Source organism: Homo sapiens, chromosome 18 (genome assembly GCF_000001405.40).
Source record: "Homo sapiens chromosome 18, GRCh38.p14 Primary Assembly".
In the NCBI taxonomy this organism is placed as follows: domain Eukaryota; kingdom Metazoa; phylum Chordata; class Mammalia; order Primates; family Hominidae; genus Homo; species Homo sapiens.
The window spans coordinates 70,359,661-70,386,013 of record NC_000018.10 but is presented as its reverse complement, the minus strand read 5'-3'; the positions used below and the strand labels follow the sequence as shown (position 1 = coordinate 70,386,013).

Below are 26,353 nucleotides of genomic sequence, written 5' to 3'. Positions count from 1 at the left end.
GAGAATCCTTGAACCAGGGAGGCAGAGGTTGCGGTGAGCCAAGATCGCACCATTGCACTCCAGCCTGGGCAACAAGAGCGAAACTTTGTCTCAAAAAAAAAAATAATAATAATAATAATAAAATAACTTTAAGTGAATCGTATTATCTCACCTAACAAAAAGTCCTATTATGTGACATAAAAATAGGTGGGGTAGTGGGTTGCAGAATGGTTTTATTAAACAAATCCACAGCAACTTCAAGGACTCAGATTCTCTCCACCATTCTGTTGGGTCATTACCAGCTGTGTTTATTTTTTGACCCAAAGACTCCTCCTCTCAACTCCCCCAGAACTGCCATGAGCCTGTTCCCCAGAGACAATGTGATCATTATCATTACAGCTGACTTAGACTCACCAGGACTTATGCTTGGGGGAAATAGGATCACTGTCCCTGAGAGCCTGGCCATGGATAGGAAAAAAGGCCCTGATCACATTGGGGTTCTAGTACAAAAGAAGAACTTCCTTGAAGGCAAGGAAGAAGAAAAGAAGGGCAATGGCTTCTCCACAGTCGAAAGGAATTCCCTTAAGTTTAAGGATTACTTCTCATTCAGTATGGCACTGTGAAAAGTGCTCCTCTCAAGGGGTCGGACAGAACTGTGTTCAAAACCCAAATCAAGCTGGGCGCAGTGGTTCATGCCTATAATCCCACCACTTCGGGAGGCTGAGGCAGGAAGATCCTTTGAGCCCAGAAATTCGAGAGCAGCCCGGGCAATATAGTGAAACCCCATGTCCGCAAAAAATAAAACATTGCCGGGTGTGGTTGTCCACATGTCTAGTCCCAGCTATGCGAGAGGTTGAGGCAGGAGGATCACTTGAGCCTGGGAAGCTGAGGTATTGAAACCGCCTTTGCAAAATTATGACTGAGACACTGAGACACTGAAAGAGATCTAACTTAACTGACTCCACCTTGCTTCTAACCTCCAAGCTGTCCTTGTTCATTCCTGGGTGTAGGCTGAACTAACTTTGGGAGAAATTTAGTTTATAGTTTAAACAAAGACGGTAGCAGCCCTTTCCTAAAGCAGACCTCCTTCTTGTGTGGGGACAAGATTGTAAGACTAACATTAGCCACAAGATTAGAAATTATGGTTTCGAAGCCATGCAGCTGGAGGCTACAAGATTCTGACCCTCCCTAAACTGCTCCTAAGATCAGTGCTTGAGATATTTTGCAGACACTGCACTTGATGGATCAGCTGGCACCACCCAGATCAATAAACTGGCTCATCTGATCTTGTGCCCCTCTGCCCCACCCAGGAACTGACTCAGCGCAAGAAGACAGCTCCAACTCCCTGTGGTTTCATCTCTGACCAATCAGCACTCCTGGCTCACTGGCTTTCCCCCATCCACCAAGTTATCCTTAAAAACTCTGCTCCCCGAATGCTCAGGGAGACTGATCTGAGTAATAATAACACTCCAGTCTTCTGCACAGCCAGCTCTGCATGAATTACTCTTTCTCTATTGCAATTCCCCTGGCTTGATGAATCAGCTCTGTCTAGGCAGCGGGCAAGGTGAGCCCCTTGGGTGGTTACAGTTGCAGTGAGTCATGATTGTACCACTGCATTCCAGCCTGGGCGACAGAGTGAGACCTTGTCTTGAGAAAAAAAAAAAAAATCCCAAATCAGCCACTTAATGAAAAGGCTCATTCTCCTCACATGCAAAGCAGGGATAACAATAACCACTTCCCATGTGCACATCAGGACTCACTGAGGAGCCAGGGTTACCGGCATCCACTGCCTGCTGATTATGCTGGGGTGTTGCCTGCAGGGAAGTGCTTTACATGCATCGGCCCAGAGACTCCCCACATCATGCAGGAGGTAGGCGCTTTGTTCTTTTCTTTTTTTTCTTCTTTTTTTTTTTTTTTTTTTTTTTTTGAGACGGAGTCTCGCTCTGTTACCAGGCTGGAGGCTGGAGTGCAGTGGCACGATCTCGGCTCACTGCAAGCTCCGCCCCCCCGGGTTCAAGCGATTCTCCTGCCTCAGCCTCCCGAGTAGCTGGGATTACAGGTGCCTGCCACCATGCCCAGCTAATTTTTGTATTTTTAATAGAGACGGGGTTTCACCATGTTGGCCAGGATGGTCTTGATCTCCTCACCTCGTGATCTGCCCACCTCGGCCTCCCAAAGTGCTGGGATTACAGGCATGAGCCACAGCACTCCGCCTGGTGCTTTGTTAGTTTCATACTGCAGATAGTAATCCGAGGTTTGGAGAAGTAATACAAGGCTTGCTGAAGGTCACACAGAGCAAGGACAGAATTCATTCTGACTCCAGAGCCCATGCAATGTCCAGGAGCCCCCACCGTGCCACCTTTTGAATGCTCATCTGTCTGCACTGCACGCAATGCACTGCCCTGGCCATCTAGGCTCGAGGTATCTAAACCATGAGAGAGAGACTGAAAGAGAAACGGCAGCACATCGTCAAGGAGTCAATTCCATTTTAAAACACTGACTGTGTGTGACAGCAAGGTTGGACAGCTCCATGGGGACACAGAGGGCCTCAGACACACGCCTGCCCTCCTAGATCTTCATTTAATTCTATGAGTGGCCATGGACAGATGGCATAAACAATTTTATATCTAAAAACTTCAAAGCTAATATTGTCTGAGATTCATATTGTGAATATATATCCTCATTTTTACAGAGAAATCCTGAGGCTCAAAGACACTGAATGACCTGCTGCTTCACACACAGGTGGTCAGTGTTGCCAAAGACCAGGACGAGCAGTCCAGGCAGCTGTCACATTTCCAACATGTGGAAAGCCTCGCCAAAGCATGAGCTCTGCTGTCTCCCTTCCATGCAGCGAGGCCACACGAGGCGGACGCAGATTTGTTCCAGCAGCTTCACCAGGGAATAAACAGCAGGCATAGGTACAAATAAATAAACCTCAGGCTTGAGATCCTCTCTTTATCCAAAATCAAACTCCAATTCTTTTCTTTCCTTTCTTCCCTGGGGCCATCTTGGTGTCGCCCATCTGCCTGGGCCAGAGGCCCGTACTTGTTCCTGCATTGCCAGGCCATTTGGTAACACGAGGAGCTGATGCCCCTTTCCCTCCTGTTGTTTTTTGTTTTTTGTGTTTTTTTTTTGTTTTTTTTTTTTTTGAGACAGAGTCTCATTCTGTCACCCAGGCTGGAGTGCAGTGGCACGATCTTGGCTCACTGCAACCTCCACCTCCCAGGCTCAAGCGATTTTCCTGCCTCAGCCTCCCGAGTATCTGGGATTACAGGCGTGCACCATCACTCCTGGCTAATTTTGTATTCTTAATAGAGATGGGGTTTCACCATGTGGGCCAGGCTGGTCTGGAACTCCTGAACTCAAACCATCCACCCGCCGCCTCGGCCTCTCAAAATGCTGGGATTACAGGCGTGAGCCACCGCGCCTGGCCTCTCCTGTTGTACCTTGTCAACCCCAGTTGCTGCTAAGCTAGCCTGTCTGTTTCTTCACTGTTTTCTTTACTTATGTCTGCTCTTCTAAACGTAGACAAACTTTTATATTTTATTTTCCTCCCCAGTTGTAAATAGCAGAATCTGGACAAGAACTCAATATTTCTATTTCAGATTACACACTCTTTCTATATTACTATGAAGCTTCAAGATATTTTATGCGGCTTTTGTAAGAAACATAATCCTACTAACATTGACTGAGTACCAGGCCCTCTGCTAGGAGGCAGGGAAACTGCATACAGCAACTCCAGCACCATCCAGCCTCGAGGGCGAGGCAGACTCGTAAGTGGGTGATCATAACAGCGAGTGCTAAATGATATATTGGGAAAATCACAGAATACTGTCGCAACACCCAGGGTGTGCTCTCACCCATCTTGAGAATGAGGAAGAGTTAACCCAGAACAAAGAAAGGGTAGTTGATGTTTAGTGTTTGGGCAGATGTATTCCAAGCAAAGGGAACATTATTGGTAAAAGAAGAAAGGGGATTGAGAGCCCAGAGTCTTCGGAGAGCTGTAAATATTCTGTCAAGGCACAGAAGCGAAGTTTGGAGTTTATGCTACCGACAATGGGAATCTCTAAAAGGAGTTCAGAAAGATCTGAAAATAGACTCAAAGATTTCTTCAACAAAAGGAGATGGGTGTCTGAAAATGATGAAGATGTGGTCCCTGACTCCAAAGAGCTCATCACCTACTGGGAGAGACAGATATGTAAACAAATCATTACAGAACAATTTGTTTCATTCTAAATGTAGCACACAAAAAGAGCTGGGGACAGTGAAGAGGAAGCCGTCAGCGCTGCCTGCGGAGAAGAAAGGAAGGCTTTGTGTAGGTGACAACTGAGCAAGATGACAGATGAGTGGGCGGAAACCAGTCCTAGCAGAAGGGGTGGACCCTTGGGGCGGGACCAGGAAGGGCACCTCCAATTCATTACCCAAGATTAAATGAATGGAACATTCGCCGTACTCTTTAAATTTCAAGAATTTCTTTTCTTTCTTTCTTTCTTTTTTGAGACGGAATTTTGCTCTTGTCGCCCAGGCTGGAGTGCAATGGCGCAATCTCGGCTCACCGCAACCTCCGCCTCCTGGTTCAAGCTATTCTTCTGCCTCAGTCTCCCGAGTAGCTGGGATTGCAGGCATGAGCCACCACGCCCGGCTAATTTTGTATTTTTAGTAGAGATGAGGTTTCTCCATGTTGGTCAGGCTGGTCTCAAACTCCTGAACTCAGGTGATCCGCCCGCCTTAGTCTCCCAAAGTGCTGGGATTACAGGCGTGAACCACCATGCCCGACCTAAATTTCAAGAATTTCTATTGCAACTCCTTTGCCTCAGGAATTTGTCCCCTTCCTAGTGGAGATAGTGAATGTTAAACTGTAACCTACATATCTCTTCTCAAGGATTTTGAATGTTTGTTTGTACAGAGAACACTCCATCTGGTATATCCCAGAAACAAAAGGAGCTTTTCAGTAAGATTTTCAGTGCACGGAAGCCGTGTTCATTTCTAGAGACTGCATTCTCAGAAGCTTTTCGCCCTAAGCACAAAATCAGAGGCAAGTAGGAGGAGTGGGGCTGCACCTGAGTGCAGCATTGCTGTACCCATCCTGTTTCCCAGACAAGCAGATTCAAAAATCAAGTGTCTTATTCACTGGGGTTAGAAAGAATCTATTTTTTTCCTTTGGCAGCATCAAACATCAGAAATAATTCCACTGAAAAGAATATTATACCTAATGTATTCTACTTAAAGTCCAACAAATACATTAAGAGCAGAAAATTGTAGGATACAAGATTCTCAAATTTTCAGTAATACAGCTCAATATCAGTACACAAGGTGAGGCCTTATGGACTGAAGGGTTGTGTCCACCCAAAATTCATATGTTGAAGCCCTAACCCCCCACTGCGATGGTATGAGGAGGTGAAGCCCCTGGAAGATGATTAGGTCATGAGAGAGAAGCCCTTGTCAATGGGACTAGTGACCTTGCCAAAGGGACCCTAAAGAGCTCTTATGCCCTCCTTCCTCTTGTGAGTGCACAACTAGCCGGCAAGCCAGAAGAGGACCCTTATCAGAACCTGACATTGCTGCACCCCAATCTCAGAATTCCAGCCTCCAAAATCGGAGAAATATATTTCTATTGTTTATAAACCACGCTGGGGTACTTTGTTGTAGCAGCCAAAACTGACTAAGATGAGAGGCCAAAAAAGGTGCTTTCCCTATTAACAGCACGACTCTGCCCGTGCTTACAAAGAACTGTGGTTGAAATGGATTCAGCTTTACAACATCTGCAGAAGGCTAAGTTACGTGCGGCAGTAGTGGTGGAAATGTTGAACTAGGAACTGTATTAAGGGGTTGAAAGTAAAGGGATGAGCCATAATTTATTCAGGAAAACGCAAATAAAAGTAGTGGAAATAGCAATATTCATGAAAAGATAATATGGCGTTTAATTTAAAAAGTCAGAGAGTGACTTGGTAATGATAAAAAAAAAGCCATGAAAAAAATATTATCGTGATGAACCTTTAGGTACTAAATAGCATAGTGGTAAATATATATGACAAAAACTCTGGTCTGGCCTGGTGGCTCACGCCTGTAATCCTAACATTTTGGGAGGCCGAGGTGGGTGGATCACTTGGGGCCAGGAGTTCGAGACCAGCCTGGCCAATATGGTGAAACCCCATCTCTACTAAAAATACAAAAATGAGCCAGGTGTGGTGGCACATGCCTGTAATCCCAGCTACTTGGGAGGTTGAGGTGGGAGAATCGCTTGAATCTGGGAGGCGGAGGTTGCAGTAAGCTGAGATCATGCCACTGCACTCCAGCCTGGGCGACAGAGTGAAACCGTGTCTCAAAAAAAAAAAAAAAAAAAAAAAAAACAACTCTGAGAATACACAGATAATTTAGTGTAACTGTGATCACTGCAGACTGGTAGTTCTTACTCTGAGCAATTTTGTCCTCCCATGAGACATTGGCAACAACTGGAGACATTTTTGGTCCTCACAAATTGGACAGGGTGGAGGAAGGTGCTACTGGCAGCTGGTGGGTAGAAGCCAGGGGTGCCGCTAAACCCCTGAAATGCCAGGACAGCCCCACAACCCACACAGAGAAGTACATGATGCAAAATGCCAACGGTGCCAGGACTGAGAAGCCCTGGTCTACAGTATTGTATTATATACTTCTCTCAAACTGACAGGTCAGGTAGACTCTCTCTATATATTTGTCTGTGTGTGTGTGTGTATACATCTATATATGTTCGAATATGTGTGTGTGTGTGTGTGTGTATATATATATATGAAGCTGGACTTAGTGTACAGAGATAACTTTCACCCTGCCCAAAATATCATTATAATATGTAGATGTATATAAACATCTATACACACGCGCACATAAATATATATTCAAATATGTATGAAGCCGGACTTGGTATACAAAGATAACTTTCTATTCTACAAAATATATGTATTCTCTCCTATTTAAAACCTTTATGATTATATTTAAGCTTGATAGCATGTTTTAACTTAACATTTATTGTAAGTCAAACACAACTTTATACTGATCAGCATAAATTGGCTAAAAGTTTTTTATTTCTTGAACATTACCAAATTCGATCTTTTTAAAAAGTAAGATAAAATGCCGATCTGAACTTTTAAAGGAGGAAACCTGATGAGATACAGGTTCCCATTTCTCAAGACCTGGCATTGTGGAATCTGTCAGAAGTTACGAACTGGTGCAGGGATGATGGAATCTACCAGGAGTTAGCCAAGTTCTCATAGAAGCAGAGGGAAAGGGGGAAATTCAAAGGGTGTACGCTTAGCCGGGCAGGGTGGCGGGCGCCTGTAATCCCAGCTACTTTGGAGGCTGAGGCAGGATAATTGCTTGAACCCGAGAGGCGGAGGTTGCAGTGAGTCAAGACCGTGCCATTGCACTCCAGCCTGGGCAAAAAGAGTGAAACTCCGTTTCAAAAAAAAAAAAAGGGTGTGAGCCCTGGTCACACACGGATGCTGTGGGACAGGGACAGTCATTTAACTTAGAGACCATCCTACTTCTTAAACACTATCTGTTATCTGTTCTCTCCAGAATCGGGCTGACAGGGACTACAACAGCTGTTCCCTGGATAAGGTGCCATTAACCTTTACATTCAGCTAAACACTTCCAAAGAGCACTGATGCCCAGACGTACATGCACTCAGGGAGCAGTGGGGGTTGGAGAATGAAGGCGTGGATTGCTATAGACATCTTATTGCTGTGGCCTGAATGTCTGAATGTTTAGTTCTTCCCATACTGAAATCCTAACCCCTCAAGGTGATGGTATTACGAGGTGGGCCTTTGGGAGGTAATTAGGTCATGGGGGTGAAGCCTTTGTGAATGGGCTTAGTGCCCTTATTATAACAGAGCCCACGGAGAGCTCCTTGCTAGCACCACATGAGGTTATAATCAGAAGGCACCGTCTATGAAACAGGAAGCAGGCCCTCACCAGGCGCCAGATCTGCCTTGATCTTGGACTTCCCAGCTTCCAGCAATGTGAAAAAAAGTTTTTGTTGTTGTAAGCCTTCCAGTTCATGGTACTTTGTTACAGCAGCCTAGTAAACTAATAGACGTGGTGAAATCAATTCACCTCCAAGCTGACCTGGCTTGGTGCTTCCTAATCATGAATGGGATCTCTGGTTTTCTCCAGTCAAATTTGAGGCTATTCTCACTCAGAAGCATTTCATCACGTATCTTCCAGGCTATAACTTAATTGATAGGTATAGATGTATTTCCACTAACAAAACTGCTAACTTTGGGGAAGGAAAATGCTAGAGTCACCTTAAGCCTCATGCTTTTATCAGACAGACACATTAATCTGGGTCTGTGTACAAAAATTGCTTCCCACACACTCTCTGGAGTCTCAGAGGACCAGGGAAGGAATCTGGCAGGAGACAAGCAAAAGGCGATACACAGTCCACAAAGTGGCACAGGGGTTCTTCCGGCCCTGAGGCCTGTTGACATCACATTCATCATCCCTACATGCCAGGGCTCTGGCGGGCTATGGAGAATCCTCTGCGAGAGGGAGGATGTTTGCACGAATAACTTTCCTTTTGAACTCTTTCGACATTAGGACCTTATGCCAGGCTGCCTCATTTACCAAACACTTAAAAGATCAGGACTGAAGCCGTAGAAGGGGCTTCACTGGGAAGATGTGTCAGCCACACCGTGCAGCTATGTTGCAGTGTAGTTGCATGAGCTGTCCCAGATACCAAGTATGGAAGTTAAAAAAATTAATAAATAAAAATAAATGAACAAATCAAAAGGAGTAGGTGTGGTGGGGAGGGAGGAAGAGCAAGCACATGGATCATGCACTTTGGGAAGAGAAAATAAAAGAGGAATGAGTTTTCTTTTATCAAGGAAATCTAAATGACATGTTCAAGACCGTAGCAACCAATCTAAGTGTTTCCATTCTCCAAACACACAGATGGACCCTGGAGTGAGAGGGTGGAGACAGCAGTAAATGTGTTTTTCTGTCTCGTTGGAAATGTTTTTCCCGTTGATCTAGCAACACTGTTACATCGGTACAAATGCCCACAACCTTAGGAGAGTTAGGTTCAGGCCCAAAGTCCATTTTCTTGGTTAATCATTATCCAGGACTGTTTAAACCAGGCCATTAAGCTATAACGTAACATGCAGCCACCTATATGCTTGGATATCTGTGTAGTCTGAAGTGCCCTTTCCTTTGCATTTCCTTAAGTATCGAATTAATTTGCCTTTAGAGAATGAATTGATATTTTTAAGCCTATTTGATTGTTGGGTTTTTTACTTAAAAACAGTCTTTATTAAAATAGTTTTATTAAAAAACATAGTGGCAAAATTTCAAATTATTTCAAAACGTTTCATGCTCTACTTCTCTGTTCCCAGCTCTGCTCTAGTCACCTCAAAGAGATTCAGTTTGACTTCACATTTTTTGTAGGCAGATGTATCCACCAGCTGACACTGAATAAAAGAGCCCTTTCAGTTACTGTCCCTCTGGGCCCAATGGTAAAGTCACCAGTCCCATGAACTGGTCACCTCCCTAGTGAAGCGGCTACGTTGTCTGGGGTCTATACCCCGAGGTTCGTCATTGCACGACAGGAAAATGTAGGACATGGACACACACAAGGAGTTTAGGAGCAAATGTTTAATAGGCAGAAGAGAAAGAAAAACAGATCTCTCCATAGACAAGGGGGTCTCCCAGTGGAAAGGACCAGTCAGGTTTGAGGAAGCCGTGTCTGATTTACATAGGGTTCACAGATTGGTTTGATCAGGTATGACGTTTAGATAGTGTGTGGGGAAGGCTGGTCGCGCCACGATAATTTTATTATGCAAATGGGCTTTCCAGTTGATGGGTGCCATCTTATCTGGTCTTTACTGCACATGTGACTGACAAAGGGAAGGGAGGATGGCGCCGCCATCTTGAACATGTCTACTCCCTAGTTCCTGCAGGCATTCACTTGCCTGTCCCTCTGGGCCAAATGGTAAAGTCAGCAGTCCCATGAACTGGTCACCTCCCTAGTGAAGTGGCTACGTTGTCTGGGGTCTATACCCTGAGCTCGACTTCATAGGCTGCTCTTTATTAAAAAATGATCTGGGCTGCTTTTCATGAAAAAGAAAACAAAGCCTTACTGAAGACTCCCATACCTTCGTTATCTGCCTAAGTGATTTCTTTTTAACTCTTGTATCATTAGCAAGGAAAATGTCAGCAAAGAGGAAACAGGAATACGCAGCAGAGTGACAATTTGCACTAAGATGAGAGCAAAGTTTAACCAAATGGAAAAGCCAAATCATTGGTTACAACTTTACTTTACAGTGGAGATTACAAGTTCTTTTCATTTATCCAATTAACCAAGTGCCAAGAGGGTGTTAATAAAATTACGTTGAATTATTCTGAAGGGTACAGAGTTGTACTCTCTGGTACAACTTTCCCTAGATGCCTAGGTTTACAACCAATTTAGACTAAAACTAATTTTTTTTTTACTTGCACTTTACTTAATTCAGCACCTAAATAGGATGTACATTTGCTACTTAAGAAATACCAGAGGTCAGACGCGGTGGCTCACACCTGTAATCCCAGCACTTTGGGAGGCCAAGGTGGGCAGATCACTTGAGGTCAGGAGTTTGAGACCAGCCTGACCAACATGGCGGAACCCCATCTCTACTAAAAATACGAAAAAAAATTAGCCAGGCGCGGTGGCGGGCGCCTGTAGTCCCAGCTACTCGGGAGGCTGAGGCAGGAGAATGGCATGAACCTGGGAGGCGAAGCTTGCAGTGAGCGGAGATCACACCACTGCACTCCAGCCTGGGCGACAGAGCGAGACTCCGTCTCAAAAAAAAAAAAAAAAAAAAAAAAAAAAGCAAAAAGCCAATCACTTAAAACTTTTTTTTTTTTTTTTATCATCGCCTCTGACCCCTGGAGAATTCCACTGTAAATTAATATCTCCTTTTTACTTTTTCTGTTTTCAAGCAGAAAAAAAAGAAAATATAAAACCAACTTATTATTTTTATTAGTTTGATATACAAACCCTGAATATGTACAATTATAGATTATTTATAAATGTTTAAAGGAGAATAAAAATTACCCTCATAGCCCAAGCATAACAATGTTTTTATTTTCCATGTTTTCCCATCTTCTTGTCCATGGTTAGTTTCAAGAGTCATATAAATGCAAGTTTATATTCTGCTTTTTTTCATTTGAAATCATAACAAATATTTTCACAAATATCCACAGATATAATTTCTACTTCTTGTATAATGGTGACTTATTTCTCTACTAGATATTTTGTTTACTCCTGAGGTTTTGGTATTGCACATAGGGCTGTAATTATTATATCTTTATGCTTACAGAACAGAAATATTTTGTTGCGTTTGCTGTTGTTTTTTCGAGATGGAGTCTTGTCTTGCTGTCACCCAGGCTGGAGTGCAGTGGCATGATCTTGGCTCAGTGCAACCTCTGCCTCCCAGGTTCAAGCAATTCTCCTGCCTCAGCCTCCCTAATAGCTGGAATTACAGGCACGTGCCACCACACCGAGCTAATTTTTGTAATTTTAGTAGAGATGGGGTTTCACTATGCTGGCCAGGCTAGCCTTGATCTCCTGCCTCAGCCTCCCACCAAAGTGCTGGAATTACAGGCATGAGCCACCTTGCCTGGCCAGAACAGAAATGTTTAACCAGAGATTAACCTTGTCACAAAGCTGTCACTCCAGTAATTGTGTGTTTATGTGTGTGTGTGTGATGTTACTCTGAAAAAATTTTAATATCCCTTCTATCCTTAAATTCCATGATTCCCTCCATCATCAGAAAAACCTCAAGTGATCTCACTTAGATACCAATCAGACAACTGATGTTCAAACCAGTGATATTTACAATAGAATTGTTCAAAATCAGGGATAGCAAGGATTCCAGGATCATGAAGACAAAATCAGAGCACAAGCTACTCTCGCTATCAGAAAAGACAAAAACAAACAAACAAAAAAGGACACCTCTACTAGGCATTTCAGACACAACATCCTAGATGATGAACTAAGTTGATGTCTAAGCTTCATAGGCCCACTATGGACCTGCACTATCTCTGGGCAAAATAGGACATTTTGAAAAGGCCGTCTTGATTGTTTATCTCCAGTGAATCAGGAAGAAGGAAGGAAGAGAGAAGCCTCAGTATCAGATAGAACTTAGGGTACTAAAGCTTCGAGGTGGATGAGTACATATACAAAAGTTCCTCTGGACATGATTAGACACTCTGAGATTCTGCTTTTCTGTGTGACCCAAACAGCACTGGGTTTGAATCTACCAGGAGACAAAAACCAGGCTGTGTTTGTTCTGCTGAGCAACTGTCTTATTCTAGGGAAGCTATAAATAATAAAAGATATAATTTGTAGAATCCCATTATGTTATCATGTCACTTCAATTCATTTAATCCTCACAATTACCCTAACAAGGAGTTTGTTAACCTGTTTTTGTGACATCCATCTACACTCATCATGTTGAGAATGAATTAAATTCATCTTCTCTGATAAACCTGCAGCCTATCTGGATTAGGGGGAAAAAGGAAAGCAAACTCAGGCTCATCCATACTGTGACTTGCAGGGAACTGTGAGTAATCCACCAAAGAAACAAAGCCAGATAGAGTAGTACATTTTCTAGATAAACACAGGTGTCACCTGACCAGATTGGTGATTTACAAAGATGAGGCTGGATGCAGCATAGGGAATAAACTAGAGAGGAGGAGGAACTGTTAAGAGACTGCTGTCTCCTCTGTTCTCTCCATTCACATCTAGTTTCTTATTGCACAATGACCCCGGGCCATTTGTATTACCCACCTGAATTTCATAGTTAACACATCTGGAAACAAGCTTGTCATTATCCTCAGGGAATCGTTTGTCCCTTGGACTTCCTAATCTGCGTCAGTGGCCACATATATCATGCTCTTAGTCACAAAGGCTCAAAACCTCAGAATCGCTCTTGGCTCTCAGCTCCTCCTTGCTTCATCCTCTTTCAGCCTCTCGTCAAAGCCTGGCTGTCTGTTCTTTCATAATAAGGTTCTTTATTTCAACTCCTACTGTTACCAAAACTTCTCTAAGTTTTAAACAAATTTGAAGGGGTGGCTGCTTCTATATAATGACTCTGGAAGTCAGAAAGAGGCAATTATTGCAGAGAACTCCAAAATAGACCCAGAGCTCACAACCCAGCCTTCTCCTTTGCACAGCCTCCTCCTTTGCTCATCTGAGTCTGCATTTTGCCTGATATGTATTTTAACTGGCTCCATAAGAAGACAAGGGGAGAAGAGGGAAGGAAAATGAGGGGGAAAAATGAGACAAACTCCCTTGTAAATTGACTGGGACCAAATTGATCCTGGAACGTTCTGTCTGAAGCAGGATAGTTTGTCTCCATCAGTGCTTTTGCGCAACATAAATTGAGTGTCTTTTTTAAGCAATTTTTTTTTGAGTGTTTACAATGTGTTTGGCATTGTTCTAAATTTGCTATATATTAGCTCATTAATCCTCAAAAAGCCCCTATAAGGAAGGCACTGTTACTATTCTTATTTCACAGATGAGGAAACCAAGGAGCAAGAAGCTTAAAAAGTCACCTGTGATCACACAGCTGATAAAAATAAAACTAGAATTTGAGCCAAAAACCTGCGTTTCAAGTCCTGAGCCCAGCACCCAAGTATCATTCTATTATTGCGCTAGTTCCTGAAATTTACATGACTCTCCTGCAGCCTCCTCTCTTCCTTGTTAAATCAAGTTTAGCCTAAAGCTGCCTCCGTACATATTTTAAGTTTGGCCTAAAGGTTTTTCTGTACATTGCAAACTATAACAAGTGGAGTTGTAAACAGACAGACTGTAGCCTACTCTTGTGCCAGTCACTGAGTTTTGGCCAATCAAATGTGGTCAACTGTTCAAACCATCTTCAAATAAGGCAAACACCAAGCTGTAACCAATCCCACTGTTTCTGTTCCTCACTTCCATTTTGTGTATGTCACTTTCCTTTTTCTGTCCATAAGTCTTCTGCCACGTGGTTGTGCTGGAGTCCCTGAGCCTACTTCTGGCTCAGGAGGCTGCCTGATTCACCAATTGTTCTTTGCTCAATTAAACTCTGTTAAATTTAATTTGGCTGAAGCTTTTCTTTTCTTTTCTTTTTTGAGACAGAGTTTCAACTCTTGTTGCCCAGGCTGGAGTGCAATGTCACGATCTCAGCTCACCGCAACCTCCGCCTCCAAGGTTCAAGCAATTCTCCTGCCTCAGCCTCCCGAGTAGCTGGGATTACAGGCATGTGCCATGACGCTCAGCTAATTTTTTGTATTTTTAGTAGAGACGGGGTTTCTCCATGTTGGTCAGGCTGGTCTTGAACTCCCGACCTCAAGTGATCCACCCGTCTTGGCCTCCCAAAATGCTGGGATTACAGGCGTGAGCCACCGCACCTGGCTGAAGCTTTTCTTTTAACATCCTCCATCTCCCCTACTTCTGGGCTACCTTGTTCACCTGCCTCCACATCCAGACGTCATTCAGAAGTGATGACTCACTCTCTCTTTGATCATCTGAACTCCTGTAGCAATTTATCTCTTAGAGTACTTCTTACTTTCAGTCTGGTATAACCTACTCCTATCCTCCAGCCCTGGAGGTACCTCCAGGTGTTTCTAGGTGTTCTCAAAAAAGGAACCACTTGTACTTACAATGGAGCCTACTGTCAGCAGCTCCCTCAGGCAAGGCACCCCCTCCCCACCTAAAGCAGGACTCTTCTTGGCTCAGGGTTCCTTGCTCTGTCCCCAGGCGGCTGCATCAAAGTGGCCAGAAGAAGCACTTCCCCTTTGATCCATTCATCCAGGGGCTAACCCTGTACCACTTGCTACTCTGGCCCTGGGGATACATTTGTGATCACAACCAGAAGAAAATTCCTACCTGAAGAGCTTTCATTTAGTAAAGAGTCAGGTAATAAATATAAGAATAAAGAAAATACGTAGTATGTTAAAAGACGTAAGTGCTATGAAGAGTAGTAAACCAGGGTAAGAGGATGGAAATGCCTTTGGGGGTAGGAGGAGTTGCAATTTTAAGTCAGTGGTCAGGGTGGACCTCTCTGAGATATTTAAGCAGGAGTGGCAGGAAGTGAGAGAGCTGGCCAAGTGGATATGCTCCAGGGAAAGGGAAGAGCTGATGCCAAGCCCTGCAAGGGAGCCCCTGGGTGTGGTGGAGGCCGGGGACATAGGGACAGTGGAGAACAGTATGGCCATGTGCACCCTGGAAGAACTGCTGCTCCAAGTTAACTAGGTAGTCATTGTAGGGTTTCAAGGACAGGAGTAACAGGACCTAAGTTTTAAAAGGAATCCCAGCACTTTGGGAGGCTGAGGAGGGTGGATCAGTTGAGGTCAGGAGTTCGAGACCAGCCCGGCCAACATGGTAAAACCCTGTTTCTACTTAAAATACAAAAAGTAGCTAGGTGTGGTGGCGGGTGCCTGTAATCCCATCTACTCGGGAGACTGAGGCAGAATTGCTTCAACCTGGGAGGCGGAGGTTGCAGTGAGCCCAGATCGCGCCACTGCACTCCAGCCTGGGTGACAGAGTGAGACACTGTCTCCAAAATAAATAATAAATAAATTAAATAAATAGGATGACTTTCCAGGCAGGAGTGCAATACCACTTGCACTGTGTGCTCAAGAATGTGAAATAAGACCCATCAACTGGTTGCAGGTTTTTCTCCAGCCATGGCCAGCTGTAAATGTGTAGGTAGAAGTAAGTGGAGGTTTGGATTTGCTAAGATGGAACAAAGAAGGGAGAGCAGTAAGGAGTCTGAGGGTGTAAGATCCTGCAGAGCACTCAGAGAATATTTTTTGGACCCCAGTGTGGGCTGTTAGGGCAACAATTCTTCCCACTTCTATTTTGATTCCTTTTTCCCCCTAGATCCAGACAAGTACTTTGACCCAGAGATGAAGTCTATCAAATTTCCAAGTGGTACTCAGAATCTCAATCTTCCTCTAATGATTACATTTTGTTGCAGATAAATATGTTCACTTTGCTGCACATGTTTAATTTTCCCTACAAGACTGCAAGTTTTGAAGGGAAGAAGCGCTAATTCTTATTCATCTGTTTCCTCTCAGCAGAGGGTCTCTCTGCACTGGAATCACTTGGCAGCTTTTACAAATCATGATGTCTGGGTCCACCCCTAGAGAATTGGCCTTGAGTGCAGCCTGGGGTACTGGGCTCTTAAGAAACCTCAGATAATTCTGATGGGCACCAAGGATGGAAGCCTCGAGACTATATTATAAAGCAATGTCTCACATATAGAAGGTACTTAATAAATAATTGTTGGGAAATATTAATGAATGGGCCTGGGAAACAGCTTCTCAGCTAGCCTCCTGAACTCAGGTATATTTTTCTCCAGTAAGTCATCTTAGACGCTCCCTTCTGCAAAACGAAGCTTCCTGGAATTCACATTAAAACTTCTGCCTCAAAAACATCCTGCATTTCTTTATCATCTGCAATAGTGGCTCCCACACTTTGGTCCACAGGCTGGACCATCTCAAGAACTTTAAAATATGGCAGGTTCTAGGGCTTCAAACCTCATGGAGTTTCTGATGTAGTCACTGAGAAGCCCAGAAGTCTGCATTCCTATCGGGCTCCCTTCAGGATCCTCATATATACTACGAGGGTGAGAATGCTCGATCTACAAGATAAAACCCAATCTCCTTCCCCGGTTGTCAGATTTCTCCACCATACATTCCTATCCGATTTACAATCCTTTATTTTTGTATAATTCCAACCCAAATCTTCTGCCACAGGAAAGGAAATTAACCCAATGTTCATTATGGTGCCTTTACTTCCTAATTTTGTTCATGTTGTGCCTTCACCTCAGCTGACTCTTCATCCCTCTATGCCTGTCTCAAACTCATTCATTTTCCTGGACCTGATTCAAATCCTACTACTTCCTCCACAAGGCCATCCAGTTCATTACAGCCCAGTGATGTAACCCATCTTTGCCTAACCAAAGCATCACTTACTGGCGTAATTACTGCCTTTGGTTTAACTTGTTATGAAATAATGTGTTGTGTGTCTAATGAAGCTATTAGCTTCTGTAAGATGAGGGTAATTCTTCCATACCCCTTTGTATCCTAACTATAGTAAGACAGTGAATGGATGAAGGAGTCTATAGCATGTACAAAAATTTCCTTAGCATTTCCTCAAGTCTTTTTTTAATTGTCACAATTGAATTATCATAAAATGACTTCAACTATCTTTTAGGAAAGGCATAGCTATCATAAAATGAAGCTGTGAAGGTAAGTTGTGTTTTGTTTGTTGTGTTTTTAATGTCTACCCTGTGATAATCACTATGTATGAGGTACCACAGATAAGCTAACACACCTTAGCTATTGCAATAAAAACTTTTTTGTAAACAGTAAATGTGAATTGGGTCACATATGCTTTCTGGAGCTTTTATTTTATATTCTCCTTGAGCAGTATTAGTCATTTTACATATTGTATTTCCACTAATTACACTTTCTGGTTCCTGTAATCCAAAGAATGCTGCTAATATTTTTCATTTCTGATTCTATGAAAATTTTAAAAGAATTTTAAGGTTTTTATTGACCTAATAACTCCGCAGTGTTCCACTGTAATAATACATACACCCTTGTTTAGGGGCTTAGCAGGATTTATAAAAGTCTAACTTTTTAGCTGTGATAGAATAAAAAACACCCAATTTAAAGGCTTTTAGTGTCATAATGGGAAAAACACACTACACATCACTATTTACCCAGGGGCTACTAGGGGACCAAATCTCTATTTTATAGGAAGATTTCTGGAGGAAGTTTTTATTGTATTAAAGGCTACTGTGCACAGAATGCTGTACAGATTTCTATTCTAGTTTTACACAAAGGTGATACTCGCAATCTATTACACATTATTACCTATGTCGATGAAAAGAGTCAAACTCTGTAAAATGCCTGAAGAGATTTATTCTGAGGCAAATGTAAGTGGCCATGGCCCGTGACACAGCCCTCACGAGGTCCTGAGAACATGTGCCGAAGGTGGTTGCGGTGCAGCTTGGTTTCATACATTTTAGGGAGGCAGGAGCCATCAAACAAATACATTTGAAAAATACACTGGTTTGGTCCAGAAAGGCAGAACAATTTGAGGGAAGTGGGGGCTTCCAGGCTGTAGGTAAATTCAATAAATATTTTCTGGTTGACGATTGGTTGAGTGTCTAAAGACCTGGGATTAATAGAAAGGAAAAGTTCAGGCTAAGAGGGGGAGACAGGCTGGGCACGTTGGCTCACACCTGTAATCCCAGCACTTGGGGAGGCTGAGGTGGGCAGATCACAAGGTCAGGAGTTCGAGACCAGCCTGGAAAATATGGTGAAACCCTGTCTCTACTAAAAATACAAAAACTAGCCGGGCATGGTGGCAGGCGCCTGTAATCCCAGCTACTCAGGAGGCTGAGGCAGGAGAATCCCTTGAACCCAGGAGGCTGAGATCACACCATTGCACTCCAGCTTGGGCAATAGAGTGAGACTCTGTCTCAAAAAAAATAAATAAATAAAAGATTGTGGAGATCAAGTTTCTTTTGAAGTCTCATACTGGCTGCCCTTAGAGAATAGATGACAAATGTTTCCTAATCAGACCTTTAAAAGGTGTTAGACTCTCAGTTAATCTCTTCAGGATTGGGAGGGCCTGGAAGAAAAAGATCTAGCTATGTTAATAGAGATTCTTTACAGGTGCACATTTTCCCTCACAAAGGATGGCTTTGCAGGACCACTTCAAAATATGGCAAAGCAACATGTTTTGGGCTAAAATAATTTTATTTTCTTCTTTGTCACATAATGTTATGCCAGAGTCAGATTGGAAAGTAAAGTCATGATATATAGGGTTAAATAAAACCCATCTGATGAGAATTTATGGTTTGGAGGGCATGAGTCTCCAGACCCCTTAAATAGAAATCTGAGCAAAATAAAAAAAATCAGAGTTTAGTCCTCAACTATAAACTTCCTGAAAACAGAAGTCATAATTTTCTTGTTTAGTGTTTTATCTTATTCAGTGCTTAACACAGGGCTTGGTCATAGTAGGTATGCGATGAACATTGGTTGGCTCACTGATTGTTAGGCATCGGTGGGTAAGAGCCAGAGAAGAGAGGGACAAGACAAGGAGGCGGCACGTGAGTGGAGACTGTGATTATCTCAAGTCCAGCTACTTGCATTTTACGGGCAACCAATTACAAATTGGCTTGACCATGGCAGCTGGAATGTACTTACATCTTTGTGTGAACTTTGAAAGCAGAATATTACATGTAAGTTGAGGAATCTGGATTCTAAGCACTTACCAGTTAGCTGCACAATGAAGAAAACTCTGTGTGCGTGTGTGTATACATGCATGTGTATGTGTGTGTACATGTGTGTGCGTGTGTGTGTGAGAGAGAGAGAGAGAGACAGAGATAAATCACTAGTCACAGAGTACTATCTTTGCTGAATATAAACAAGTTTAGGATGTGAAAGGTGGGCCCAGATAGCTGGGTTAAAACAAAGAAGGAGAAACAAATGGGTTGCCAACTTTTTCTGCACAAGAAAGAAAGAGGCATGTGGATAAGTAGAAGGAATGACCGAGAAAGGAAGAGAGAGGAAAGTCTAGCCAACATGCAGGAGGCTGGAGGGAGCTTCCTGTGAGAAATTCCAAACAGCAGGAAGGCTGAAAGCCTTTGGAAAGAATGTCTACTATTCAGCTTTAATCCCCATGGTTTGCTGTGGCATAAGCCTCCCCACTGCATCCCCAAACCTTCAGTGGTCGGCTGCAAAGAAACTTGCCTGCCTTGGGTCATGTACCCTCAAGGAAATGAACTACCAAATGCAGGATGATGGAGTTAAAAAATAAAGCAAAGAATAGAGGCAGGGGCTAAGTTCTATAGGTGGGGTGGTAGAAAAAGAGAACAGCCAAGGCATCGAAAAATGAGTCATAAATGTAAAATGATCCGCAATCAGGTGAGCAGGACCTGTGAGGCAGAGTGGTCTTGATAATGTAAACATCCAGGATTTGGCAGAAAACTTGGCCTTTTAATAAATTGGGATAGGGAATCACAGCTTATTTTATCAACATCTGGAAGGCAGAGTGACCTCAAATGCCAACTGGGTTCCAATTCTTTAGCTTCCTCCTCAAATGCCTGATCGCTGAAGATGTCCAAGTGCCAACCCTCAGAGCCCTGATTTTAAAAATAAAAGGCCAGTATTTCTCATGCATATCATGAGGCATAAATATTTAAGAGGGAGGTTTTTGTGATTTTACGGAGTGTTTTCAAGTTCTTTGCAACTCTGAACAAATGCTTTCTGCTCATTTTATAACCAGTTTGTTAGTGAACAAAATAGAAGGACTTCTCCGGAGTTTTAGATCTTTCTATCATAATCCTCAGTATCCTAATGTTTCATTCATTCATTTAATAAGTACACATTTAGCATCCACTGGACTGGAAATTGTTCTAGATATGAGTAATGAGCAGAAAACACTGCTTGCCCAAAGGGAGCTTAAGTCCAGAGCAATAGTTCCAGAACTTGGCTTCTCATCAGAATTGTCACAGAGCTTCACAAAAAGAAAGTCTCCAAAGAATCCACGCAGACCTACTCTACCAGGAATCTCCTTTCCATCCCTATACTTTTTGATTTTTCACTAAGCAAGAGTGGGTAGGTTGAGGAACAAAAACAGGCCAGATGGGGGAAACGGAACAGGAAGAATGCCATGACCACTTTCCTGGAGCTGTGATTCCAGCACATTATCTGAGGATTGGCTGAGTTCAGGCTAGATCTTCTCAAAACCCTGCCCATTAACCACAGCGAGATAGCATTTCATACCCACAGGATGGCCTCACGAACACGACGGGTAATAACGAGTATTGGCAAAGATGTGGAGAAACTGGATACCTCAAACATTGGTGGTGGGAATGCAAAATAGTGTAGCTACTTTGGAAAACAGTTTAGCAGTTCCTCAATGAGTTAAATATGGAGTTTTCATATGACCTAGCAATTCCACTCACAGCATACACCTAAGAAAAATAAAAACACATGTCCACACAAAACTTTGTATATAAGTGTTCATATCAGCATTATTCATAACCAAAAAGAGGAAAGAACTCAAGTGTCCCTCAACTGTTGAATCAGTCAACAAAGTGTTGTATATCCACGCAATGGAATATCATTCCGCCATAAGAAGGTACTGATAGATGCTGATAGATGCTGTAACATGGATGAACCTTGAAATATTACATTAAATAAAAGAAGAAAGTCACAAAAGCCCACATATTAATGATTCCACTTATATGGAGTGTCCAGAAGGGGCAAATCCATTAGAAAGAAAGGAGATTAGTGGTTACTAGGGGTTGTGGGGAAGACAGAATGGGTAATGGCTGCTCATAGCTATGGGGTTTCTTTTTGGGGTGATAAAAAGGCTTTAAAATTAGTGCATATGTTTGTACAATCTTACGATATACTAAAACCACTAAATTATACACCTTGAAAGGGTAAATATTATGGCATGTGAACATCTCAATTAAATACATACATTAAAAAATTTTAATAGCATGATAAAAAAAGAAAAACTCCTGCCTGCCCATGCTATGGAGGAAGCATTGGATGGGGAAAAGAAAGTTCTTAAATTATGAACTCCTAGATTTTGAGGGCATGGATTATGTGTTATTCATCCTTGTAAGAACAGTAATTATTATGCTTCCTAGCCCATATACTGCTTCTGTTAGGAAGGTTCATATTATCAATTAAGAAAAATGAGACTCAGACTCACCTAACTAATAAAGGAATTATTGGTCCATTTGACTGAAAAAGTGCAGATTTTACTTCAGGTAAAGATCGGTCTGCAAGGACCCAATTTCTTTTCATGCCTCAATTCTGTTCTTCTTATAAAACTTTGACCCATGACTTGATTTCTTCTTGTTCCTAAGATGATTTCCAGTAATTTCTAGAGCTACAAACTTCCTCATTTAAGTCCCTGGTAGCCTACTCAAAGTCCAGGAAGTGATAACCGATGACCTTTACTGTGCTGACTTTGGTATTTCACCATAATAAAATGAATCACTGAATCCAGGAGGAGAATGTAAAAAAAAAAAAAAAAAAAAAAGTTAAGGAGCAAAGCTAAATTTATTTCCTTGCCAGGCAAAAGAGAGTCCCTCATTCAAGCATGGCTAAAAGAAAAAAGAATGGATCTACAGAACCAAGAGGGTATTTATTCTACATTAGAAAGGATTCTAGGCTTTAAGTACCGATCATTTTTTGGAAGGGTAGAGGAGAACATTGAAAATTCCTCTTTTTGATGTGATCCATTTTTAAAACTGATGTGACAAAGTGCCACATCAAAGAGACTGGTTTTCAAAGAGATCTCAGGTGAGATATTTCAGGCTCTGTTTGGCTCATGTGGCACTTTACCATGTGCAAGCTTAGGGCTTAGCAGTTTTCTTTTTTTACAATGATAAACACATATTGTTCTAAACCAGTGAGGGTCCATCCTTGGGTACTGGGTGGGGCCAATCCCACCATCATGGCTCTCTGTGAGAAGAAAGAATGAAGAGATGATTGTTGGAGAGGTGGCCACACGCACCGCACTCTCTGTGAGGGCTTTGCAGCATTTACTCAGAAAGACAGTAAGACAATAAGGACCACCTTGACAACACGTTCTAAGGGAGAAAGTACTAAAGACACTAGGATTGTGTGAAAACCCCCAGGCCTCTTGGAGAGGGTTTTCTTGGCAAAAGACAACTATAAAATGTGCCAGGTTTTTTTTTCCTTCTTCTCTTTTTTGAGACAGAGTTTAGCTTTGTCGCCCAGGCTGGAGTGCAGTGGCATGATCTCTGCTCACTGCAACCTCCGCCTCCTGGGTTCAAGCCATTCTTCTGCCTCAGCCTCCTGAGTAGCTGGGACTACAGGCACCCACCACCACGCCCAGCTAATTTTTGTATTTTTAGTAGAGATGGGGTTCCACCATGTTGGTCAGGCTGGCCTCAAACTCCTGACCTCAAGTGATCCGCCTGCCTTGGCCTCCTAAAGTGCTGGGATTACAGGTATGAGCCACTTCACCCAGCTAAAATGTGCCAGTTTTACCTGAAATAATTTATTCAGTAATATATTCACCCCCTCCCCCACCACCACAAGCACTTTACTTTCTACATGTACAGATCAACAACTTAAAAAAATATATATTGAAATGCTGTCAAGTCAACAAGAAATTCTTTATTTGTTAAATCAGGATAATCAAGAGTTCATTTTCATAGGAAAAATTCTTTGTGTTGGCAACAGCATAAGACATCCTAAAGCAAGAGACTTTCTCAGGGAAAATTGTCCAGAGCAAATTCCAAATGAATAGAGCTTCACCACCAAAGGAGTATAAACAACCCAAATCTTCCATCTCCAGATTCTACAACAGCTATCTTGCCTCCTGTTTCCAAAATTGTTCCAAGTTTAAAACTGATTTCTCAATTATTAAATTTTTTATAGCATGTGGCAGACACGCTGAGAGTTAACAAGTATGTTCTCATACTGTGAGAGAAGGCCATTCACCAAGCTTCAGAATCAGATAACGAATCTTGTCTTTGCTGCTCATTGGCTATAAGGCTGGAGCTAACTGCCTAACCTCTGTCCTGTTCCCTTAAAATGCTGGTGACAATATCTTCCTAAAAGGGTTCCCATGAAGATCAACTGAAATAGCAATGCCTGTAACACACTTAGTCCAGTGTCTGGAAAAATCATTCAATAAATATTTGTTCCAGCCTAGCCAACATGGTGAAACTCCGTCTCTACTAAAAATACAAAAATTAGCCGGGCATGGTGGCACATGCCACCTATCTCAGCTACTCAGGAGGCTGAGGCAGGAGAATTGCTTGAACCCAGGAGGTGGAGGTTGCAGTGAGCCGAGATAGCGCCACTGTACTCCAGCCTGGGTGACAGGGTGAGACTCCATCTCAAAAACAAACAAACAAACAAAAAACAACAAAAAAAAATTGTTGCTATTGTTGTAACAATTCATAGAAAATGTGTTCCAAATACTTGAAATGCAGCCATTAGTTACTGAATACCCCCACATGACTCTAAATGTATATAGCTGAGAACTGAGGTAGAACCTTCCTCATTTATCAAATGCAAAAACTGAGAATAGAAGACAACATACCAATACAGGTAACACTATGGCAAAAGAAAATCCAAATTCCTGCCTGGTGCAGTGGCTCAGGCCTGTAATCCCAGCACTTTGGGAGGCCAAGGTGGGTGGGTCACCTGAGGTCAGGAGTTCGAGACCAGCCTGGACAACATGGTGAAATCCTGTCTCTACTAAAAATATAAAAAAATTAGCCGGGCGTGGTAGTGGACACCTGTAATCCCAGCTACTCGGGAGGCTGAGGCAGGAGAATTGCTTGAACCTAGGAGGCAGAGGTTGCAGTGAGCCGACACAGTGCCACCACGCTCCAGCTTGGGCGACAGAGTGAGACTCTGTCTCAAAAAAAAAAAAAAAAAGAAAATCCAAATTCCCTTGTATCAATTGTCTAGACAAGCTAAAAGTGACAATTCATAGGAACATTAATTCTCAGAGCCAAAAGAGAACACACTGACTAACCCCAGTGTGTAACTGACACAACTATTAAGGCCCAGAAAGTCAACAGAGGCCGAACATCAGGCCAAATATTTATTTACTGACCTAGTTATTTAAAACAGATCTCATAGCCTCTTCATAAAAGCAATAATAATAGCAAGCATGTATATACATTGAGAAACAAAAATAAAATCCTAAGTCCCTCGACTGACTGAACAGACCCCCTCTTGGACAATGGGACTCCAGAAAAAATTTAAAAACTGAGTTCCCAGCTATGACTGGGTAGGAGGTAGGACATGCCTAGTTATATCCAGTTCCTCAGTAACTACCATTATACTTTCTTTCCTAAGGGTTCAACAGAAACCAGCCCTTTCTAAAGACTTGCTGAACTCTGGCACAGCAACTGACCAGCATTCTTTCCTGATCAGAGACCAGTGAGCGCACTAAATGCCTTCCTGTACCTGCTTCACCTTTGGACACATAGGGCCTAATCATAATACATTTAAGTGTTAAGTCTCCATCCCAAAATCAACATGGGATGCAGGTAACATGCTTATTTGCTTACTACACGTGTGTACCCCCTTCATGAATATTCATATCTTCCCCAGTAACCTGTTGAATATGCACACGTGGTCAGCCCATTCAGCATAAAGTCCTGTCTCATCCTTCCCTTCTTTGAAGTGCTTGCTTTTGGCTTCTGTGGGAGACTTCGCTTCCCAGATGGTCAGCCTGCAACTTACAACATCCGGGCGCAGTGGGTCACACCTGTAATCCCAGCACTTTGGGAGGCCAAGGCAGGTGGATCACCAGAGGTCAGGAGTTCAAGACCAGCCTGGCAAACATGGTGAAACCCCGTCTCTACTAAAACACAAAAATTAGCCAGGTATGGTGGCACACGCTTGTAATCCCGGCTACTCAGAGGCTGAGGCAGGAGAATCGCTTGAACCCAGGAGGCGGAGGTGGCAGTGAGCTGAGATTACACCACTGCACCCCAGCCTGGGTGACAGAGTGAGACTCCGTCTCAAAAAAAAAAAAAAAAAAAAAAAGAATAAAGCTCTCCTTTCCAAATTTATAAATCTCATGATTCTTCAGTTGACAACATATACATTATATATATATGTGTGTGTTTGTGTATATGTGTGTGTGTGTATATATATATATATATATACACACACACCTATATGTTAGGTTAGTGCACAATTGCAGTTTTTGCTACTTAAAAGTAATTGCAATTTTTGCCATTAAAAGTTGTATGTATTTTCCAGGCACTGTTCTAAGTACTTTCCACATAGTGATTCTCTTTTCCATGTATTTACTTATTCCATATATTGGCTTGATATATGAATTTCCATATATGGACTCCATATATTGACTCATAGTATTGATGACAGCTCTTACAGAGGACAGCACCATGCAATGAACAGTCAAGAGTAGCAACATGACAGGATTGGGATGCAAACCCTGGCCATGTGTACAGTGTCTGTGTTCTGCTATTACATTCCATGTTCAGCATGGCCCAATATGGGAGCCACTAGTCACATGTGCCCATATTTAAAATTTGAATTAGCTTAATTAAAATTAAATAAAATTACAAACTCACTTCTTCAGTTGCACTAGCCACAGTTCAAGAGATCAATAGCCACATGAGGCCTGTGGCTTCTATTGTACAGAACAGATATAGAACACTTCCATCATCACAGAGAGTCCTATTGGACGGCAGTGGCATAGACAAAGCCTTGTTGTCTGTGCTCCTAACCATGACACTTTACTGCCTCGTGGACTCTAGCAGTGTACCTACTTTGCCTGTCTATTGTCATAGTTTCCCTTGAATTCAAAACAAAT

The 26,353-nt window shown here is 42.6% G+C and overlaps 1 long non-coding RNA gene across 1 annotated transcript, besides 3 other annotated features; it reads left to right on the top strand.

Annotated features, from left to right (window-relative positions):
- Nucleotides 824–2,023: an enhancer, noted in NCBI's record as "MED14-independent group 3 enhancer chr18:68051227-68052426 (GRCh37/hg19 assembly coordinates)". NCBI's record gives its function as "activates an origin of replication core promoter dependent on BRD2, BRD4, P300/CBP and CDK7 cofactors, and independent of MED14, by STARR-seq in HCT116 cells {active_cell/tissue: HCT116}" and the evidence as "EXISTENCE:reporter gene assay evidence [ECO:0000049][PMID:35650434]".
- On the top strand, nucleotides 1,423–5,874 carry LINC01910 (long intergenic non-protein coding RNA 1910). Its single transcript, NR_110764.1, has 3 exons — nucleotides 1,423–1,543; nucleotides 2,672–2,897; nucleotides 3,585–5,874. It is a non-coding gene; the product is annotated as a long intergenic non-protein coding RNA 1910 (long non-coding RNA).
- Nucleotides 18,349–19,059: an enhancer, noted in NCBI's record as "NANOG-H3K27ac hESC enhancer chr18:68034191-68034901 (GRCh37/hg19 assembly coordinates)". NCBI's record gives its function as "activates a minimal SCP1, AML or CMV promoter by ChIP-STARR-seq in primed H9 embryonic stem cells {active_cell/tissue: H9 hESC(primed)}" and the evidence as "EXISTENCE:reporter gene assay evidence [ECO:0000049][PMID:30033119]".
- Nucleotides 19,060–19,771: an enhancer, noted in NCBI's record as "OCT4-NANOG-H3K27ac hESC enhancer chr18:68033479-68034190 (GRCh37/hg19 assembly coordinates)". NCBI's record gives its function as "activates a minimal SCP1, AML or CMV promoter by ChIP-STARR-seq in primed H9 embryonic stem cells {active_cell/tissue: H9 hESC(primed)}" and the evidence as "EXISTENCE:reporter gene assay evidence [ECO:0000049][PMID:30033119]".